General features: G+C 34.5%; 1 protein-coding gene across 15 annotated transcripts in view; it reads right to left on the bottom strand.

The window, feature by feature from the left end:
- STXBP5L (syntaxin binding protein 5L) overlaps positions 1 to 21,842 on the bottom strand; it is a 516,557-nt gene that overhangs the window by 169,106 nt on the left and 325,609 nt on the right. For 14 of the 15 annotated variants that reach the window (NR_145516.2, XR_924217.3, XR_001740373.2 and 11 more), the window contains 4 exons: positions 16,538 to 16,685; positions 15,149 to 15,216; positions 4,893 to 4,933; positions 544 to 761 (listed from right to left, as the gene is read on the bottom strand). Coding sequence is in view for 12 of the 15 variants with exons in the window: in NM_014980.3 (NP_055795.1) it covers positions 544 to 761; positions 4,893 to 4,933; positions 15,149 to 15,216; positions 16,538 to 16,685 (475 nt within the window). In the remaining 3 variants the exon portion in view is untranslated. Of the gene's footprint in view, positions 1 to 543; positions 762 to 4,892; positions 4,934 to 15,148; positions 15,217 to 16,537; positions 16,686 to 21,842 lie in introns of those variants that run through there. The other variant, XM_011513332.2, reaches the window with a different exon arrangement.

Here is a 21,842-nt window from a genome sequence, read left to right as displayed (position 1 = left end):
ACAGTTGATGAGAAAATACAAATCAGATAAACTTAAAAATTAATAAAAGTATAGAACAAAGCCTGCATTAATTTGATTTTTATACAAAAATAAATCAATAACTATATGTATAAAACCTATACATTTTATTAGTATATATAGAAGAATATATAGGTGTATATTCCACAATATATACATAGTTCAAAACATCATGTTGTAGAGTTGACTTATTTCGGCCAGGTAGATGCAACTCATGTAACATCAAAGAGAAAAGTGAGAAAATTGTAACATGTTTAATTTGTAACAAGATTAACTTAAATACTAAGCTTGTTTTGACATTGAAAAAAATACCAAGTTTTGATAGAGAATTGTTTTGGCCTTTTAGGCCAAATCATTTATTAATATGTTATAGTAAGTAACAATAATAATTTAAAATCCTGTGAATTGTATTACTAGCCACATACTGCACACTTCATGGAAACCATACCAAGTAGTAGTCAAATCTATGATAATAGCTTTCTTTTAATAACTGTAAAAGTGAAAGTTAAATTTTAAATAACTTACCACTATTTCTGTTGTAATTTCATGTCTGCTGAATTTATAAATTATGACATATGCAGAGACTCCTGATACACAGAATATTCTGCTCTCTGGACACCAGTAAATCATCTGAATGGCAAATGGGTCTTCCTCTACAATTTCACATGTTTGTTTTCCTTCTCCTACCTTCTGTTTTTCAAACACTTTTGAAGTTTTTAGCTTGTACAGCATCTGCAGAGTTACTATAAGACATCGAAGCACAGTTATCTTCTAATTTAAACTTAATTCTTAGATGTTATTAAAGCTTTTCCAATATATTTGTTAAACAACAAAAGTAAACCTAAGTAGACAAAGTGAATTACATTTTAACCAGTAAAGCATTCAATGCCACGCTTTCATATCAGTACAGCAGCTAGAGGGAGACTACAGGGAAAAAAATAAACATTCCTTGAATATATACTACATACCAAGGAATATATAGTTGCTTTCTTGTGTCATTCTCAGAAAAGTCTCATGAAGGAAGTATTTTTATCATTATTTATTGATAAAAATATTGGGGCACAGAAAGTCTAAAATGGGAATACTGAAAATAATTCTTCCCTAGCGGAGACTCCTCTATTCTTTATCTCAGTTTTCCCCTTTGATTGTTAGGTGAGAGGTTGATGGTATTCCTAGAGGGTTTACTACTCTCAACAAATTTTTAGACACTCCTTCAGATAAGAAACATTGTAATTTACCAGTTAGCAATATTGGGAGTCCAAGAATCTGTAACTATTTGAGAAGGGATCTTTTCTGAGTGGCTCTGTGTCAAGAAAGGGTCAGATATAATCTCATACATTGTGTTTGTGAACTGTTTTTAAGAATATTTGGGGGAATATTTTTCCATTGGAGACCATGATGATAATAACTCTATAAAAGAACTATGATTCTACAAAGGATCCTTGAGTAAAGTTTTAAATATGAATCCTGTGAAAAGTGCATCACCTGAATCTAATAATGAGAAACATTAGTCAAAACCAGACTGAAGGAGATTCTATAAAATAACCGGCCTGAACTCCTCAAAAATGTCAGTGTCATGAAATGAAGACTCAGGAACTTTTCCAGAGTTTTTAAAACTCAGAAGATACAATGACTAAATGCAAAAATAATCCTGGATTTTTTTGTCGTAAAGAATATTAATTTGCGGCCGGGCGCAGTGGCTCACGCCTGTAATCCCAGCACTTTGGGAGGCCGAGGTGGGCGGATCACCAGGTCAGGAGATCGAGACTATCCTGGCTAACGTGGTGAAACCCCGTCTCTACTAAAAATACAAAAAAAAAAAAAAAAGAAAAAAAAAAAATTAGCGGGGCGTGGTGGCGGGCGCCTGTGGTCCCAGCTACTCTACTGGGGCTGAGGCAGGAGAATGGCGTGAACCCAGGGGGCGGAGCTTGCAGTGAGCCGAGACTGCGCCACTGCACTCCAGCTTGGGCAGACAGAGCGAGACTCCGTCAAAAAAAAAAAGTATATATATTTATGTGTATATATACATATATATACACATATATATGTATATATATAAATTTGCAAAAGCTGAATAAAATCCGGAGATTAGATAATAGTGTTGTGTCAGTGTTAATCTACTGGTTTTGATGACTGAAGTCTGGTTATGTAAGTGAATGTTTGTAGGAAATACACACTGAAGTATTTAGGGGTATGTAATGTGTCTCCAACTTACTCTCAAATGCGTAAGAAAAAAAGCTATATGTATATATGTATGTGTGTGAGAGAAAAATGTATGGAAGGAAGAGATAAAGAGTAAAAGAGAGAGCCAGGGAGAGGAAAGGAATATTTGGAGAATCTGGTTGAGAGGTATAAACCATTTCATAGTACTTTTTTTTTTTTTGCAATGTTTTTGTAAGCTTGAAATTATGTCAAGCTAAAATAGATTTTTTAAAAAATAGACAAAGGATTGTATTGCGTGCTATAGCCTGGCTTCTGAGGTCAGATAGGGTATCATTCCTATGATTATTTATGTTACATGACAACAGTAAAATGATATTGCAGACATCATTAAGGTCCCTAATTAGTTGACTTTGAGTTAATCAACAAAGAGCTTATTCTTAACAGCCAAAACCTAATCAGATGGCCCCCTTAAAAGAGGGACTGAGGCCCTCCCTGAAGGTAAAGAGACACTCTTGCTAGCTTTGAAGCAGCAAGCTACCATGAGCTCTGAATGTGCAAGAAAATGAAGTCTGCCAACGATTACATAAGCTTGGAAGAGAACCTTCAGTCTCATGAAACCTCAGCCCCAGCCAACACCTTGATTACAGTCTTGTGACACCCTGAGCAAAGGACCCAGCGAAGGTATAATCAAATTCCTAACACACAGAAACAGTGAGATGATAAATGGGTATTGTTTTAAGTTGTTAAATTGTGGTAATTTATTACTCAGCAATAGAAAACTAAGATACATAATAATATAAACTCAGTTATTCAAATTCATTTTGCTTTCTGTATTAGACAGTGTTTCACAAAGTTAGCAAACTAAGTAATTTTTTTAAGACATCCATTAAGTTGGAGATATGACCTTGATTACAGTGAAAATATTAAACATGCTGCAATCATTTGCAATTTATATTCTAAATGTGATAAAATATTTATTTAAAAATTAACTTCTCAAAATATTATTATGCATGCTTAAGGGTGTTATTCACTCTAATAATTAAAGTGTTAAAGTGTCCTCTAAATTTTATTTTATTTATTTATTTATTTATTTGTTATTTTTCTTTTTGGAGATGGAGTCTTGCTCTGTCACCCAGGCTGGAGCGCAGTGGTGTGATCTCGGCTCACTGCAACCTCTGCCTCCCAGATTCCAGCAATTCTCCTGCCTCAGCCTCCCGAGTAGCTGGGACCACAGGCGCATGCTGCCACACCCAGCTAATTTATATTATATATTTTTTAGTAGAGACAGGGTTTCACCGTGTTGCCCAGGCTGGTTCTGAACTCCTGAGCTCAGGCAATCTGCCTGCTTAGGCCTCCCAAAGTGCTAGGATTACAGATGTGAACAACTGCGCCTGGCCCTCCACATTTTAAAAGCCAAAAAGTGACTTTGAGGTGGTGGGAAAGGAGCAATGGCATCACTATGCAATGAATTTTGTTCCAGGAACAAACTCAGGTTTGCATGAGAAGATTCATCAACAGAAAGTCTGTTGTCCTTTGGAGTTTCTCTTTAGGCAGTTGCTTTTTATTATGTGAAGTCAGAAGGGGACTTCAGAATGTGTGGGTTTAGATCTTTTAATCCTTTTCTCTTGCTGATAGTTAGTTTGCTTGCTCAAGGGACTCTACCTTGTGGGCTAAGAGTATCATCAATATTCAACCTTCTTCCTCTGCTTGTGTGTTTATTGCAGTCTTCCTCAGAAGCTATTCATTTCTACAGCTTCAAACATCACTTTTATGCTGCTTCTTCATTGGTTTCCATTTCTGACTGTTCTCCTTACCTGCTGGATATTTTTACTTGAATTTTATGGTTTTACTAAAAAATTCAAAGCTCTCTTTTATTCCTTATTTCCAAAAGAGTTACCTACATCTTCCTGGTTACTCATCTTCAGAAACTTAGAGTCACTGTTAACTTGTTCTTCACTCCTATTCCTGTCAAAAGTTAACTAACTTCCAAAACTCACACTAAATGTTAACTCCATCAAAATACCTTTCCTGGATCTACCAGGTCTCAATAAGACTCTCCCATTTCTGATAGCAAACAGATCTGGGGTACTGCATTGAGAGTTCTTATATTGTTTTCCCTATAGTTATATATGTGCATTTCTTTATCTTTTCTAATGACTACAATTTTTCTGAAGGGTATATATGAGTATAATGAAGTCTTAAGTATCTTTGCATTCCTTCAACATTGAGCAGAGTACCTTATTTATTCTGTAAGTTACATAATTCTCAAGAATTTAAAAAGAGTTCTTATAGTTATCAAATCATTTGATCTTTGCAGGATGTGGTAGATGAGTGGGGAAAAAAAAGTGAAGACTAGAGGGATATAAGCACTTGGCGAAGACCACACAGGTAGAGGGTGAAGGAAATTCCTTGAACAGAGTTAATTTAACAGAGTTTGGTACTTTTTCTGATGTATCATGCCTCTTGTAGATATAATGGGTTGCTGACAAAGAGTGACTTAGTCTTGTTTACCTTATATTATAGAAGAGAAGTAAAGCAGAGATAATACTTTCAACTGATCTAACAGTGTAGGTAATAGATTTTTGTAACACAGCCACATATGTGTGCTAAAAATATATCTGAAATTTTAATTGCCCAAACTAAAAAGTGGTAGCTGGCTATAAGTAAATATTAACCAATTGGTTTCTGTTGTACAGAAACTTGAAACTTACTTGCAGAAGCATCCCAAAATTTTATTGATCCATCTGCATGACTAGATGAGAAATAAATTAGCATTAATTAAAGTATACTAAATAAAAATCATAATCACTCCAAATGTACAGAAACTTGAGTTACTGTTGATACAATTTTGATTCAAAAATACCACTTTAATGAAAACTAATGTATGCTAAACCATTTCTAAGCTTAAAACAATGGCTCATTTCTTAAACAATATACTAAAATCTAAAGATTAGAAAAAGAACAATAATTCCTTAGACTTTACTGTAAAAAGGTTATATATGTAATGGAGAACAATGAAAAATGGCCTGTGGAAAGTGAACAACATATTTTCATGTAAAATTATTTATATTCAATAAAAGGATAGATAATTTTGATATTAATATAAATATGAATTGAATATCATAGTAAAATTCAGTTAAGTTTCAAAATATAAAAGCAAATCACCAAATATATCTAGAGTTGCATCATTATTTGGTAATAATCAAATGTCAATTCTATAAAAACTCATCGAGAAAATAGAAGAAGATAAAATACTTCCCAACACTTTTGATGAACTCAGCATTACCCTGACACCAAAACCACATAAAAACATTACAAGAAGAGAAAATTACAAACCGATATTCCTCATGAGAATAGGCATAAAAATTGTCAACAAAATATTGGCAATACAAATCAAGTAATATATAGAAAGGATAGTACATAATGACTAAGTGGGTTTTCTTAGGAATGTAAGGCAAACACTTAAAAAATCAACTACCATATTAAAATTCACCATATTGACAGATTACAAAAGAAAATCCATATAGTCATCTCAATAAATGCAGAAAAAGCATTTGACATGATTTATCATCCATTCCTAAAAAAAACTTTCAATAAACTAGGAACACAGGAAATTTCTATAACCAGATAAAGGGTGTGTAGGAACAACCTACAGATATCTCCTAACATACATAATAATGAAAGATTGCATGTTTTCCCCTAAGATCAGGAGCAAAGCCAAAAAAATGTTCACTCTCACCATTCTTATTCAACATCTTATTGGAGGTGTTAAGCACTGAAATAGGGAAGAAAAAGAAATAAAAGGCATACAGACTAAAAGGGAAGAAATAAAATTGTTTGTATTTGCAGATTATATGGCTATGTAGAAAATCTCAGAGATTCTATAAAAAGGATACTGGAACTCATAAATGATTAGCAAAATTGTAACACACAATATCAATATACAAAAATCAATTGCATTTCCATTGAATAGCAATAGACATTTGGAAATAACAAAATAGTACCACTTACAACAGTGCCAAAACCAAGAAATAGATAAAATCTAACACAATTTGTGCCAGATCTGTATGCTGAAAATTGTAAGATGTTGACCAAAAAATAAGGCATTAATAAAAGGAGATATATATTATTGATAATTGTATGACTTATTAGATGTTTGTTCCCCTAAATGGCATATAAATTCAATGTAATCACAATTAAAATATGGTAAAACAATTTTTTGTAGAAATAAACAAACTGATGGTCATACGCCCAAAGCAATGTGCAGATTCATCACTATTCCTATCAAACTACAAACATCATTCCTCACAGAAGTAGAAAAAAAAACTATTCAAAATTTCATATGAAACCAAAAAAGAACCTGTATAGCTAAACAAAAAGAACAAAGCAGGAGGCATCACACTACTCAACTTCAAACTATACTATAAGGCTACAGTAACCAAAACAGCATGGTACTGGTACAAAAACAGACACATAGACCAATGGAACAGAAGAGAAAACTGAGAAAGCCTCACACCTACAACCATGTGACCTTTGACAAGGCTGACAAAAACAAACAATGGGGAAAGAACTCCTTATTCAATAAAGGGGTGCTGGGATAACTGGCTAGCCATATGCAAAAGAGTGAAAACTAGACCCTTACCTTTCACCATATACAAAAATTAACTCAAAATGGATTAAAGATTTAAATGTAATACCTCAAACTACTAAAATCCTAGAAGAAAACCTAAGAAATACTCTTCTTGATATCAGCCTTGGCAAAGAATTTATGGCCAAGCCCCCAAAAATGATTGTGACAAAACCAAAAATTGACATGTAAGAACTAATTAAACTCAAGAGCTTCTGCACAGCAAAAGAAACTATCAACAGACTAAACAGACAACCTACACAATGGGAGAAAATATTTACAAAGTATGCATCTGACAAAGTATGTCTAATACCCAGAATCCATGAGGAACTTGAACAAACCAAAAAGCGAAAACCAGATAATCCCATTAAAAAGTGGGCAAAAGACATGAACAGATGCTTCTCAAAAGAAGACATACAAGCAGCCAACAAACATGAAAAAATGCCATCATCACTAATCATTAGAGAAATGAAAATCAAAACATGGCCAGGCACGGTGGCTCATGCCTGTAATCCCAACACTTTGGGAGGCCGAGGCCAGCAGATTACCTGAGGTCAGGAGTTCTAGACCAGCCTGGCCAAAATGGTGAAACCCTGTCTCTACTAAAAGTGCAAAAATTAGCCAGGCATGGTGGCACATGCCTATAATCCCAGCTACTGGGGAGGCTGAAGCAGGAGAATTGCTTGAGCTCAGGAGACAGAGATTGTAGTGAGCCGAGACTGTGCCACTGCACTCCAGCCAGGCCAACAGAGCAAGAGTCTGTCTCAAAAATCAAAAAAAAGAAGAAAAAAAAAGAAAATCAAAACACAGTAGGATACCATCGTACAACAGTCAGAATGGCTATTATTAAAAAGTCAAATAGTAACAGATGCTTGCCAGATGGCAGAGAAAAGAGAATGCTTAAACATTGTTGGTAGGAATGTAAATTAGTTAAGCCACTACTGAAAGTAGAAAGCGGTTGGGAGATTTCTCAAAGAACTCAGAGCTACCATTTGACCTAGCAATCCCATTACTGGGTATATAACCAAAGCAATATAAATCATTATACCTAAAAGGCACATGCACTCATATGTTCATTGCCATGCTATTTACAATGGCATGTGGAATCAACCTAGGTACCCAACAACAGTGGATTGGATAAAGAAAATATAGTACATATATACCATGGAATATTACACAGCCATAAAAAAAGAGTGAAATCATGTCCTTTACAGCAACATGGATGGAGCTGGAGGCTATAATCCTAAGTAAGCCAGCACAGGAACAGAAAACTAAATACCACATGTTCTCACATATAACTGGGAGCTAAACATTAAGTACACATGGACATAAACACAGAAACAATAGACACTGCAGTCTACTAGAGTGGGGAGAGAAGGCGAGGGATTTGGATTGAAAACTACCTATTGGGTATTATGCTCGCTACCTGTGTCTAATATACCCATGTAACAATCCTACACATGTATCCCTGAATCTAAAATAAAAGCTGAAATTATTTTTTCAAAAGAAAAGAAACTAGATTAGCCAAAGCAATTTTGAAAAATAAAAACAAAGTTGGAGAACTCAAACTACATAAGGTTTAAGTCTCACCCTAAAGCTCCAATAAAGTTTTTGTGCTAGTGGTGAAAAACAGACACATATATCAGTGAAACATATTAGAGAGTCCAGAAATAGAACCATATGTATATAGCCAACTGATTTTTTATTTTGAGAGGGGGTTAGTCACTGAGTGGCTTACTCTACTTTAACAGCTTTATTCAGATGTAATTTACATAACTATAAAATTCACCCACTGGGAGTGTACAGTTTGATAATTTTTAGTAAATTTACACAGTTGTCACATTGACACCATCATCCAGTTTTAGAACATTTCCATTACCCCAAAAAGTTACCTCATGGCAATTTGCAACCCTCTTTCTCATCCCTAGTAGATCCCCAATAATCTACTTTCTGCTTATATAGATTCTTTTTTTCTTAGAATTTTTATATAAGTGGAACCCACATAATATCTACTACATTTTGTGTCTGCATTATGCACTTAGCGTAATGTTTTTGAGGATAATATTTCTTACATGTATTAATAATTTGTTCCTTTTTGTTGCTAAATAGTATTCCATTGTATGGATATGCTCTACTTACCCCTTCACCAAATGATGAACATTTGGGTTGTTTTCAGTTTTTGGCTGTTACAAATAAAGATGCTATGAATGACTTTGTATGTTTACTCTAATTATAAACTTATAGATATTTTTAAATTTTATTGCTGAAAAATCTGCAGGATGTTGATCTGAGACTCTATATACCCTTACAAAATTTAATTCTATTTTATTTTTCATCATGTAATACTTGATATGAAAATAACAATGTATGTAACATAGATTTAATATACAGAATATAATCGTATTGAAACCACTCAACCAAAGAACTAACATTACTAATAACTTGCATCTACAGATGTGTGGTCTAACAGAGCACTCCCCAACCTTTTTGGCACCAGGGACTAGTTTCGTGGAAAACAACTTTTCCACAGATGCGGGTGGTGAGAGATGGATTCGGGATGAAACTGTTCCACCTCAGATCATCAGGCATTAGTTAGATTCTCATAAGAAGCGTGCAACCTAGATCTCTTGCATGTGCAGTTCACAATAGGGTTCGTACTCCTATGAGAATCCAATGCTGTCCCTGATCTAACAGGAGGCAGAGCTCAGGTGGTAATGCTCACTTGCCTGCCACTTACCTCCTGCTGTGTGGCCTAGTTCCTAACAGGCCATGGACTGGTACTGGTCTGCAGCCCAGGGGTTGTGGACCCCTGGCCTAACATATTACTTATCCTAGAACAAGGTCCATGTGTGCTTAAGGAGAATATTTTTCTCCTATTGCTAGGTATAGTGTTTTGTATGTCTGTTAGGCCCAATTGTTCTATAGTGTTTTTCAAATACCCTGTTTCCTTCTTGATCTTTTGTCTAGTTGATCTGTTCATTACTGAAAATGTGATATTGAAATATATTACTATTATTGTGTTATTCTGTTTGTTTCTTCAATTTTGTCAATGTTTGCTTCATATATTTTGATGCTCTGTTGTTATGTTCATACATATTTGTACTTTTTATATCTTTCTGTTGGATTGACTCTTTTATTATTAGGTAATGTCTTTCTTTGTCCCTTGTGAGTTATTGACTTAAAGTCCAATATAAATGTATTCATCTCATTTTCTTTTGGTTACAATTTGCATGGTACATCTTTTTCTATCCTTTCACTTTCAACCTATGTGTGTCCTTAAATCTAAAGTGAGTTTCTTGGAGGCAGCATATAGTTCTACTTTTTTCAATCAAGCCATTCTATGTCTTTTGATTAGGGAGTTTAATCAATTTACATTTAACATAATTATTGGTACAGAATAATTTACTAATGCCATTTTATTATTTTCTATATGTTATGTGGTTATTTTGACTTTCTTTTCTTCTCTTGCTGGCTTCCTTTGGGTTTTGTTTTTTTTTTTTAGTGACATACTTCTATTCCTTTTTCATTTTCTTTTGTGCACCTTCTATAGGCATTTTCTTCGTGTTTACCATCAGGATTACATAAAATATCTTCTAGTTATACCAATCTATTTTAAACTATAACAACTTTAACTACATACAAAAAATCTACTCCTTTACATTCACTATCTCTTCATGTTATTGATGTCACAAATTACATATTTTTATATTTTGCATCTATTATCATAGTATTATAGTAATTTTTATGTTGTTATTGTTTAAATTATATGCCAGAAATCAAAGTGATTTATCCACCATCTTTAAAATCTTACGATATTCTATATTTGTCTATAAATTCAACTTTACCAGAGAGCTTTTAAGTTTTTGTATGCTTCGGTGGTGTTGTCTAGTGTGTTTGTTTCAACTGAAGGAACTCTCAGCAATTCATGTAAGACATGTCTAGTTGTGATGAATTCCTTCAGTTTTTGTTTATATAGGGAGGTCTTATTGCTCCTTCATTTTTGAAGTTGGTTATGACAAATATAGCATTCTAAGTTGGTGGGGTTTTTTTTCTTTCAGCACTTTGAGTATATTATCCCACTCCCTTCTAGTCTGCCATGCTTCTGCTAAAAAACCTGCTGACAATCTCATGGGGATTTCCTTGCATGTGATAAGAACTTTTCTTCTTGATGCTTTCAAGATTTTCTTTTTGTTTTTGATTTTCGACAGTTTGATTATAATGTGTCTCTTTATGAGCTTCTTTGGGTTCATATTATTGGACTTGTTTAAGCTTCTTGAATTTGAATTTCCATTTCTTTCCTCCAACTTGGGAAATTTTTGACCATTATTTCTTCAAGTAAGCTCTCTGCTCCATTCTCTCTACTCCATTCTCTCTCTCTCTGTCTCTCTCTCTCTCTCCCCGCCCCTTCTTAAATTCCCATAATGTGTACATCAGTCCACTTGAATGTGTTTGTAAGGCTCTTAGGCCCTCTTCTTTTTGTTCCTCTGACTCAATAATTTCAAGTGACCTATTTTCAAGTTCACTGATTCTTTCTTCTGCTTGGCCAAGTCTGTTGTTGACACTCTGTAATGAATTTTTCAAATCAATTATCATATACTTCAGATCTAGAATTGTTTTTTTTTAATAATTTCAAACTCTGTTGATATTCTCATTTTGTTCATGCATCATTTCCCTAATTTTGTTTAGTTTTCTATTTGTATTCTCTAATATATTGAGTTTCTTTAAGATGATTATTTTGAACTCTTTGTCAGGTAATACACAGATTTCTGTTTCTTTAACCCTTTTCCCATTTAGAATAAAAAGTACAGTTTGCTTCCAGTGCTCCTTTAATTTTACGTAAACACACTTTTTGAGGCTGAAGAAAATCTGACTGGTTTTCAAGGTGAAAATAAAATATGAAAGCTGTTCCTGGAGTTATTTCTGAACAGAACTAACATCAGAATAGTCTATTTCGGAAAAAATAAATTCACCAAATGAATCCTCAGCCAACAACTGTACAAGAATGATGTTAACTTCACACGTAGGAATGCTATGTTTCCTAGGATAAGACATTTTCAGTGATGGAGAATTACTATATTTTGTAAATGGAAATACCACTACTAAAACCAGAATGCTATAAATAGAATGATGTCTTTTATTTCCAAAGTCAATATACTAGAGTGATACAACAATAATAATAAAAGTGAGATATTTTGAGGCAAAGTTATCTTGGCATAAATGTTATAGCTGCAAGTGCTGCCAGTGAGTATTCTCGGGGCAAGTAGGAAAAGGGTTAAAATCAGTTACTGGACTTTTTTTTTTTTTTGTCTCTTTGATTGGGCCATGTTTCCCTGTCTCTTTGTATGCTTTATTTTTGTTGACTTTAATGTGAAAAATTAGTCATATCCTTATGGACTGACTTTGTACAGGGAACATTTTTCATAAATCAGCCCAGGTAGACATTCTAAGAGCCTCTCAAACCTTTTATGGGAATTTGTCTTCTCTGGGCTTGTGCATGTAATTCCTAACTAGTGAAGTTTTCCAGTTTCTTTCAGGAACTTGTAGTATCTTGCTGCTCTAGTATCTGTCTGAAATACTGCAGGTTCTCTGATGCTACAAGCCACTGAAATATATTTTGCTCTCAGTGGCACCCAGGAATCCAAAGTTTGCCAGATCTCTATCAGATGACACAGAAACTAGTCCCTTGAGCAGCCGCTATAACATATATCCAGAACATTGTGTATATCTTCCGCTCTTTTCTTTCCCTCAAAAAGGTGAAGCCATGAGTAAAGGTGAAGCCATGAGTTGCACTTTTCCTCCTAATTGTGAGCTCTGCCAGCTTGGAAAAAGGACTGATGTGGCTGAAACGCCCTGCTTTTCTTACCCATTTCAATGTGACCATTCTTGGCTTTGAGCTTGTCTGGGGTACTGTGACTTCCTAAACGGTTTCTGAAGTTGTCCTAATGGCTTTTTGGACCACATATTGTTGTAAAGTAAGTGTGCCTGTGGAGAACAAAGTCTAGGGCTTCCTATTCTGTCACCTTGTTGATATCACTCTCAATTAATTCTTTTTTTAGTTTTTTTTTCTGTCTTTTTACTCTCAAATTGTCTATGCTGTTATATTTGAAGTGAGTGTATTGCAGATAACATATAGTTGGTCATGTTTTTAACCCACTCTGTCAATCTCTATATTTGAATGGAAGTATTTAGACCATTTCTATTTAATATAATTATTGATATATTAGGGCTTCAGTATACCATATAATTTTTTCTGTTTCCTTTTTTCTGCCTTCCTGTTACCTGAATTATTATAGTGCTTCCATTTTGACGTGTCAGTAGTGTTTTTAAGTGTACCTCTGCATAATTTTTACAGTTTTTTTAGGTATTACATTGTACCACAACTTATCACATTCTATGAGTGTCATCTTATTACCAGTTCAAGATATATAAAAGCCTTAACTCTATTTACATCCTTTTACCCTCTCTTATTTATAATTGTGTTAAATATCTCCTCTATACACATTTAGAACCACACCAGACAATGTGATTATAGTAACATCAGACTCTGTTACTATAATCTTTGCTTCAACCATAAAATATACATTTAAAAATCCAAGAGATGGAAAGCCTATTGTATTTATCCATACTTTTATTATTGCATTATTTCTTCCTTCTTGATGAACCAAGGTTCATTTCCTTTCTGTGTAGGGAACTTCCTTTAGCTACTTTTTTAATGGTAGATTTGGTGTTGAAAAATTCTTTTAGTTTATTGCATCTGGAAATGATAGATTTTGATCTTGATTTTGCCTTAATTCTTGAAGGATATTTTCATTGGTTATAGGATTCAAGATTGATAGTTCTTTTCTTTCAGTACTTGAAAACTACTCATTTTTCCTTTTGGCAGGCAGGGTTTCTGATGAAAACTCTGCTGTCATTCAAATTGGTTTGGCCCCATAGGTCAGATGTCATTTCTCTACTGTGGCTTTCCAGATTTTTTTTCTTTCAGTGTTTACTGTTCAGAAGTTTGACAATAATTTATCTTGGTATAGATTTATTGGGGTTTGCTCAGCTTCTGGAATCTGAAGGTTCATGTTGTTTTGCTAAATTTGATAAGTTTTCAGCCATTATTTCCTTAATACTTTGCAGTCCCACCCTCTTTCTTCTCTTCCTTCCTCATTTATTTCTGTTGACACAGGGAAGGGGATAGGGAGTGGTAGCTACTCATTACTGCTAGGCAGTGGTGAGAATTCTAGCTCCCCACTGACACCACAGGGGAGGGGTTTCACCCACCATGATTCAAAGCCCCAGCTCCCTACTCTGCTTTATCTGACACTCTGGGGAAGTTGGGGGTACCTCATTATACCCTGATAAGGGTGAAACTCTAAGCTCTCCACTTGGCTTTTACTGGAGTGAGTTGGGGTGGGGCCACACTTGTGTGTGTGGGAGAAAGGTGTGTGCGTGTGTGTGTGTGTGTGTGTGTGTGTGTGTGTGTATGTGTGTGTGTTGTTGTTAAACCTAAGTAGAGAGATTATTTTCCATATGTTTTCTGTCTTGATACACTGCCACTTTCTTCATTCTATGATTAAAGAGAGCTAGATTTTGTTGGGATTTTTAATTTGTGTTTATTCCCAGTTCTAGGTTACTAGCTTCTTTAGCTCTAATTCTGGGATATATGAGGCAGAAAGAAAACTTAGGGAACTGACTTCCATGTCATTCTCTAAGACTTAGGGGTCCTACTTGGTCTGATGCGTCTTCACATTTCCCAGTCATCTTATGTTTGTCTTATATGTAATATCCAGAGTTTTTAGTTGTTTAGTGGGAAGAATAGGAAAAAATATATTTACTCTATCTTCCCATTAGCAGATCCCTTAATTACTTTTTAAATCTCATATTTATCATTAGCTATGTCTCTATTTTTGTTCCTAATATTAAAACATCAAGTGGGTTGTCATACAAAGGAGTGTTATTTCTGGTGCTGTAAGTTTTGAGAAATATTTAAAATAACCATCTCGTACAGATACAGAGCAGTGATTCCTGAATTTGGCAGAAATAGATAAGTGTTTGTAAGGGCCTTTGTAAAGCTAATATTCTGTGATTTCCATGAAGACTAATATCTCATGACTTCCCAACTTTGACCTTCTCCTGGTGATATAATCTATGCTTTCTTTTCTGTTATTATGTTTCCAATGGTTTGATTATATCCTCTGTCAAGATGAGAATCTTTGGGTAGAAGCTATTTCTTATATTTTTACTTTTACTTAAACTATTATTCTGCATAGAACACAATTATGGAAAAGTATCAAGACTCAGTAAACATCTTTTTGTTGATGAACTAATAACTCACAAAACACATCTACTTACCCAGTAATAATAATTTCTGGATATGTTTGTGCTCCAAGGTTCCAAGCTCCTCCACTGATTGGCCACTCCTAAACAGATTATCCAGAAAGAATATATATACATGTTTAAATGGCTTAGAAATTTAAAATGAAAATAGCTTAAAATAATGATAAAAAGCTCACTTAAAGAAAAATAAGTGTAAAATCATCAAGAATGAAGTGTGTAGCTGTCTTTTAATTCTTTCATTGAACAAACACCTCTAAATGCACAATTCCATCTCCCTTAAAAATATAGATTTTAATCAATCTTACCATTTATATAAACAAATCAAAGAAGTATTTTTAATTGTACAAATACAGTGTTGCTACATGCATCATATAGTCTGTGTACCACCAAACTACTGTGGTGCCATTTAACATAGAAGCTATGTAAATAGTGTCTCTTGAAGTTGTCCATCCCAAGAGCCCTGGGAGAATAATAGAAATCATAATAGATAATCTGTTACAATTGTAAATAGTTGAATCTTGTAGTAAACTATAATAAAAAATTCTAGAATGTTATTTAACAAATAACTTTTAATAATTATGTTTCCTAAACCATTAATTAATTATAAACTAGGAAGACCTGAGTCTTTTTATTTTCTTTATTTTATTTTATTTTATTTATTATTATTATACTTTAAGTTTTAGGGTACATGTGCACAATGCGCAGGTTAGTTACATATGTATACATGTGCCATGCTGGTGCGCTGCACCCACTAACTCGTCATCTAGCATTAGGTATATCTCCCAATGCTATCCCTCCCCCCTCCCCCCACCCCACAACAGTCCCCAGAGTGTGATGTTCCCCTTCCTGTGTCCATGTGTTCTCATTGTTCAATTCCCACCTATGAGTGAGAATATGAGGTGTTTGGTTTTTTGTTCTTGCGATAGTTTACTGAGAATGATGCTTTCCAATTTCATCCATGTCCCTACAAAGGACATGAACTCATCTTTTTTCTGGCTGCATAGTATTCCATGGTGTATATGTGCCACATTTTCTTAATCCAATCTATCATTGTTGGACATTTAAACATATTTTTTCATCTAAAATAAAGGTTACATCTTATGACTCAAATATATATTAGTATAAGTACATACTTAGTATATAAATGTACATACTAGATAAGTATATCTTAGTATATAATTATATACCTTCTGTATAAGAAATTATATTTCTATAGGCTTAAAGCTATGTAGCATTTAGAAAATTTGAATTTAAGAAGTTATGTATTTAATAGATGTTGGCTTATAACTTAAAAAGAATTTAGTTAAGTCCTCCTATATGGAATGTAAGAAAATAAAGTAATGGAAAAAAGTATGATCATGTGATATGAATACAAAAAAAGTTATTTATAATTTCTACTTTTACCTTATTACTGTATCCTTGTTTTTTATGCTTGACTCCTATAGAATACAGTACTAGAATCAAATCCGGAGGACAATCTGCAAAGTATGCTGTGCATGTAACTGGTGATTCATGAATGTCCATGGGATATGGATTTTCAAAGATTGGAAAACTAATAGATAAAGACAATATATCAGTGTTATTTTACAAAGAAAAAAACAGAAAATAATTTTGATAAAGTAAGCCCTAAAATGTCTCTAAACATCACTATAAATTTTGCTTGTTTTTTAAGTACCATAAAACAAGAATTGTATGAACAAAAATGCTCTTTTTGTAATAGTAATTTATAAAATGTAATATTAATACTAGTAAAATTTTACTCAAGCTCAAAATTTACTTCTCATAATTCTAACATTCCACAGTGGCATTGCTTTGCTAATATAGATACAATGAATTCTATTAATCTGAAACTATTATATAACAAGTTTACTTAGTTAATTCATTAAAAATAAACCAAGCACTTTACCTATATACATTGGTAAATATTTATTTAGTATCCTTATAAATATTAAAATATAAGTAAATTTTGACTTTCTTTCAATGGGAGTGCTATGGTTTGGATGTTTGTCCCCTCCAAACCTCATCTTGAAATTTAGTCCCCAGTGTTGGAGGTGGAGCCTAATGAGAGGTGTTTGGCTTATGGGGCAGATCCTTCATGAATTGATTAATGTCCTGTCTTGGAGGTGAATGAGTTCTCCCTTTTTGTTCCTGTGAGAGCTGGTTGTTAAAAAGAGCCTGGAGCCTTCTCCTTCTCACTTGTTTCTTCTTTCATCATGTAATCTCTGCACACACCAGCTCAGCCCCGCTTCACCTTTCACCATGAGTGAAAACAGCTCAGGTTCTCACCACATACAGATGCCCAATCTTGTAAACAAAATAAACATTTTTTTTGAAAAAAAATAAATTACTAGCTTCAGGTATTCCTTTTAGTAACACAAAACAGACTAAGACAGAAAATTAGTACTAAGGAGCGCGGTGTTGCTATAAAGATAACTGAAATTGTGGAAGCACTTTAGAAATGAGTGATGGGTAGAGGTTGGAAGAGTTTGGAGAGCTCAGAAGATAAAAAGATGAGGGAAAGTTTGGAACTTCTTAGAGATTGGTTAAGTAGTTGTGACCAAAATACTGACAGAAATATGGGCAGAAAAGGCTATGCTAATGAGGTCTCAGACAGAAATTAGGAACTTATTGGAACTGGAGCAAATATCCCCATTGTTGCACTGTAGCAAAGAACCTGGCTGCATTGTTGCACTGTAGCAGAGAATTTGGCTGCATTATGGAAGGCTAATCTTAAGAGCGATGACCTAGAGTATCTGGAAGAAAAAAATTCTAAGCAGCAAAGTGCTCAAGAAGTGGCATTGTTACTTTTAACAGCTTACACTAAATTATGTCCACAATGGAATCACCTAAAGGAAGAATCTATAATTAAAAGGGACACGAGCATTAACATTTGAAAAATTTGCAGCCTGGCCATGTGGTAGTAAAGAAAAGAGTGTTTTCAGGAGAGGAATCTAAGCAACTACTTCCTAAAGAGATTAGCATGACCAGTAAGAGAGCAAGGTATTAATAGTCAAGACAATGGACAAAAGGCATTTCAGAAATCTTTGAGGCCACCCATCCCATCACAATCACAGGAGCCTAGGAGAACAGAATGGTTTTGGGGGACAGGCCTAGGGCACCACTGCCCTGTGCCCCTTTGGGTCACTGTTCCTCACATCCCTACAACTCCAGCTCCCACTATGGCTCAAATGGACCCAGCTACTGCTGGGGTTGCTGCTCCAGAGGGCACAAGCCATAGCTTTGGTGGCATCCACATGGTGTTAAGTCTGCAGGCACCCAGAACACAAGAGCCATGGAGGCTTGGCAGCTGCCCCCTAGATATCAGAGGATATATCAAAAAGCCTGGGTGCCCATGCTGAAACCTGCCACATAGGCAGAGCCGCCAGCAGTGTGCAACCTCAGTCTGGAAAAGCCTCAGGCATTCAACTCCAACATATGAAAGCCACATGGGCTGTGCACAGCAAAAACATGGGGACAGGACTGCCAAGGCCTTGGGAGCCCACCCCTTGCACCAATGTTCCCAGGATGCAGGACATGGAGTCAAAGAAAATTATTTTGGAGCTTTAAGATTTAATGTCTACTCTGCTGTGTTTTAAAGCTACATGAGACTTGTTACGCCTTCCTACTGGAATGGAAATGTTTACCCAATACCTATACAACCATTTTTACCTTGGAAGTAAAGAACTTGTTTCATATTTTATAAGCTTACAGCTGAAAGTAACTTACTTTGTGTCTCAGATGAGACTTCGGACTTTGAACTTTTGAATGGATGTTAAAATGAATTAAGACTTTTGAGACTATTGGAAAAGAATGATTGTATCTTTTATGTGAGGACATGAGTTTTGGGGATTCAGGTGAAGAATGCTATGATCGGGATGTCTTTCCCCTTCACAGGGGCAGATTCCTCATGAATAGATTAATGTCTTCCCTTAAGGACGAGTTCCCACTCTTCGTTCCCATGAGAGCTGGTTGTTTAAAAAAGCCTGAAACCTGTCCCCTCTCTCTCTTGCCTTCTTTCTCACCATGTGATTTCTGCACACTCTGACTTCCCTTCACGTTCTGAGATGAGTAGAAACAGCCTGAGACCCTCAACAGAGGCAGACACTCAACCTTGGACTTTCCAGACATCAGAATTGTGAGCCAAACAAATAATTTTTCTTTATAAATTATCTAGCCTTGAGTATTCCTTTATAACAATATAAAAGGGACTAAGACAAAGAGGTAATATATAGGAAACTTTTAAATTTTTTTGCAGGAATAATGAAAAGATGTGTGTCATATGTAGGTTTGTGTGTATGTGACTGTGTATATCTAAAAGATCATTTCCTATGTAAACTAGAGAACATAGTTGGAATAAAGACTTATGGATGTAATAACTTTCATATCCTCAAGCCTACTATAACCTTAAAAAGGAAATGAGTTCAGAATCAAATTTAAAATTCCTGTAGCTATTTAGAACATCATATGTACAAGGCACTGTACTAGGAGGAAATTAGTATTATTCTATGCTATATCTGTTCCAGGTCTGTGTCATCCTATAACTTCTGACACACTGTGTTTTTTTAGGGTAGGAGGTGCTTGTTACAAAACAGTTTTTTGCCATATTATTAGGAACTTAATTAAAAATTAGGAGTTTAGTCCAATCTCCAGAGAATATAGTGTGTGTGTGTGTGTGTGTGTATGTGTGTGTGTGTGTGTGTGTGTGTTCTGGCAGGAGTTCTCTTTCCACCAATCTGAAATGTTGCAGATAGTATCCCAAATAAGAATAGTTATATATGCAAAATCAGGTAAAGGAAAAACTCATGTCTAGTTAAGGGACAAGTAGGTTAAACTAGAGGTACCAGAGGTTAAACTAGATATATCAGAGATTCTCTGTTTCAGAGTAGAAATTATTAATATTTCTAAGATTACAGAGTTAGAAGATAAATGGACCCCTTGAAGACCAGGCCTACAATTTAGAATTTGATAATAGCAAGAGGTAACGATAATAGGCTCCTGACAAAGTGAAATATTGAGAAAATTTTTGAGAAAAATTGTTTTAGTACATTGGCAAAGAGTAGGCAAAAAGATATTAAAAAGAGAAATAATAACTAAAAACTTACTAGAGGAATTTAGACATAAAGAAATCAAGAATAGAAATAATTTGTAAACCCTAATGCTTGCCTTCGGGTTGGGGATTAAATGGAAAGAAAAAGATAAAAAGAAAAAAATTGAAAGAGATTCCAAAGTTACAACTTGTTTAACATTCAGTATAGCTGAGAGGTAACCATTTGGAAGGAAAGAGAACATACTCAGTTTTTGACATGTTAAATTTCATGTAATAACCAATGAAATGGGAATGCCACATAGATTTTAATACATGCTAAAGAAGGTAAATGTTAGATGAAAACTTGCAAACAAAATGTTAATTCACATACTTATATAGGGTAATGAAAAGCACAAGAATGTATGTATACATAAAATGGTAACTTTTATGTTATACATAGTCTATCACAATAAAACAAAATTTAAATAAAAAAATATATATATATATACTGAAGAAAGTGGGCATGAAAGGTAAAGTATAATGGGCCTGCAAAGATGTTAGATACTTAGACAAAGTACGAGTAACCAACAAATATGACGTAGAAAGACGAGTTGAGTACCAATGAGATTAGAAGAGTATGTTTTAATAAGACTCATATTAGAACTTCTTAGAAGAATAAGCATAAATCCTTACATCTACCCAAAAAGTGTTAATGTTGATAAATAGGGCAGCTAAGCAGAATTCCCAGTTATGATGATTTAATGGCCCAAATCCTACATCCCTTTCCAAACACCGAGAACAATATCTGCAAATTAGTATGAGGAAGAACCCTGGATCTTACATTTACAAACAACTTGAAGAGTAGAATTTGGACTGATTTATTCAACAAAAATTTATTGAGAGCTGACTCCATGTGGAGACAGAGCCCCTCCTTCATGGAGCCTACAGCCTAGTGGGGAGACAATCTTTAAGCAACAGCAAATAGAAAATTGTATCTGTGTCAAAAGCTATGAAGAGAGAAATGTGGGGGGTATGAGAGCCCATACTAGAATATGTGGCCAAATTATATAGATAATGAATTTTTTTAAATAAGGAAGTGATATCTGACTTGAGAATCTTACAGATATTAATAAGAAGAAAAAATGAAGAGAAAGTCATTCCAGGCCAAGGAGAGACAACTTACAAAATTGTGTTACAAATATATGAGGCTAAAAGATCAGTGGGCGAAGAACATACAATGATGGAAATTAGTTTCATGCTATTACCATTATAATAAAAATGTACAGTTAGATTTTTACTGACAATGTAAAGGAGTGGAGAGCACCACTATTATAGCATTATTCTACAGTTGTTTCAATTGCCTGTGACATAATGAAAAAGGAATAAAAGTAAAAGAAGGCCCCTGTCTTCTCTGCCCCTGAGATTCTGGTCTTCTGTGTTGTCTGCAGCAGTAGTGCAATAATACTTCTATCATGTGTCATTTTCCATTACTCAGCTATCACATTGTACAAGTTTTCATAATGATTGATTTTCTTTAAGGAAACAACAAAAATGTGATCAATTTTATGTGTCCTGAGTCTCCAATGCTTCTGTCCAAACATCAGGTGCTGCCTTTAAGTTGTCTCACAATTTTCTCAGTGTTTCCCAAATTCCTCTGGTTTAATTTTCACCATTGAACCAAAG

Source organism: Homo sapiens, chromosome 3 (assembly GCF_000001405.40).
Source record: "Homo sapiens chromosome 3, GRCh38.p14 Primary Assembly".
Taxonomy (NCBI): Eukaryota; Metazoa; Chordata; class Mammalia; order Primates; family Hominidae; genus Homo; species Homo sapiens.
Note: the sequence above shows the minus strand (reverse complement) of the source record. Positions and strands in the feature narration are given on the sequence as shown.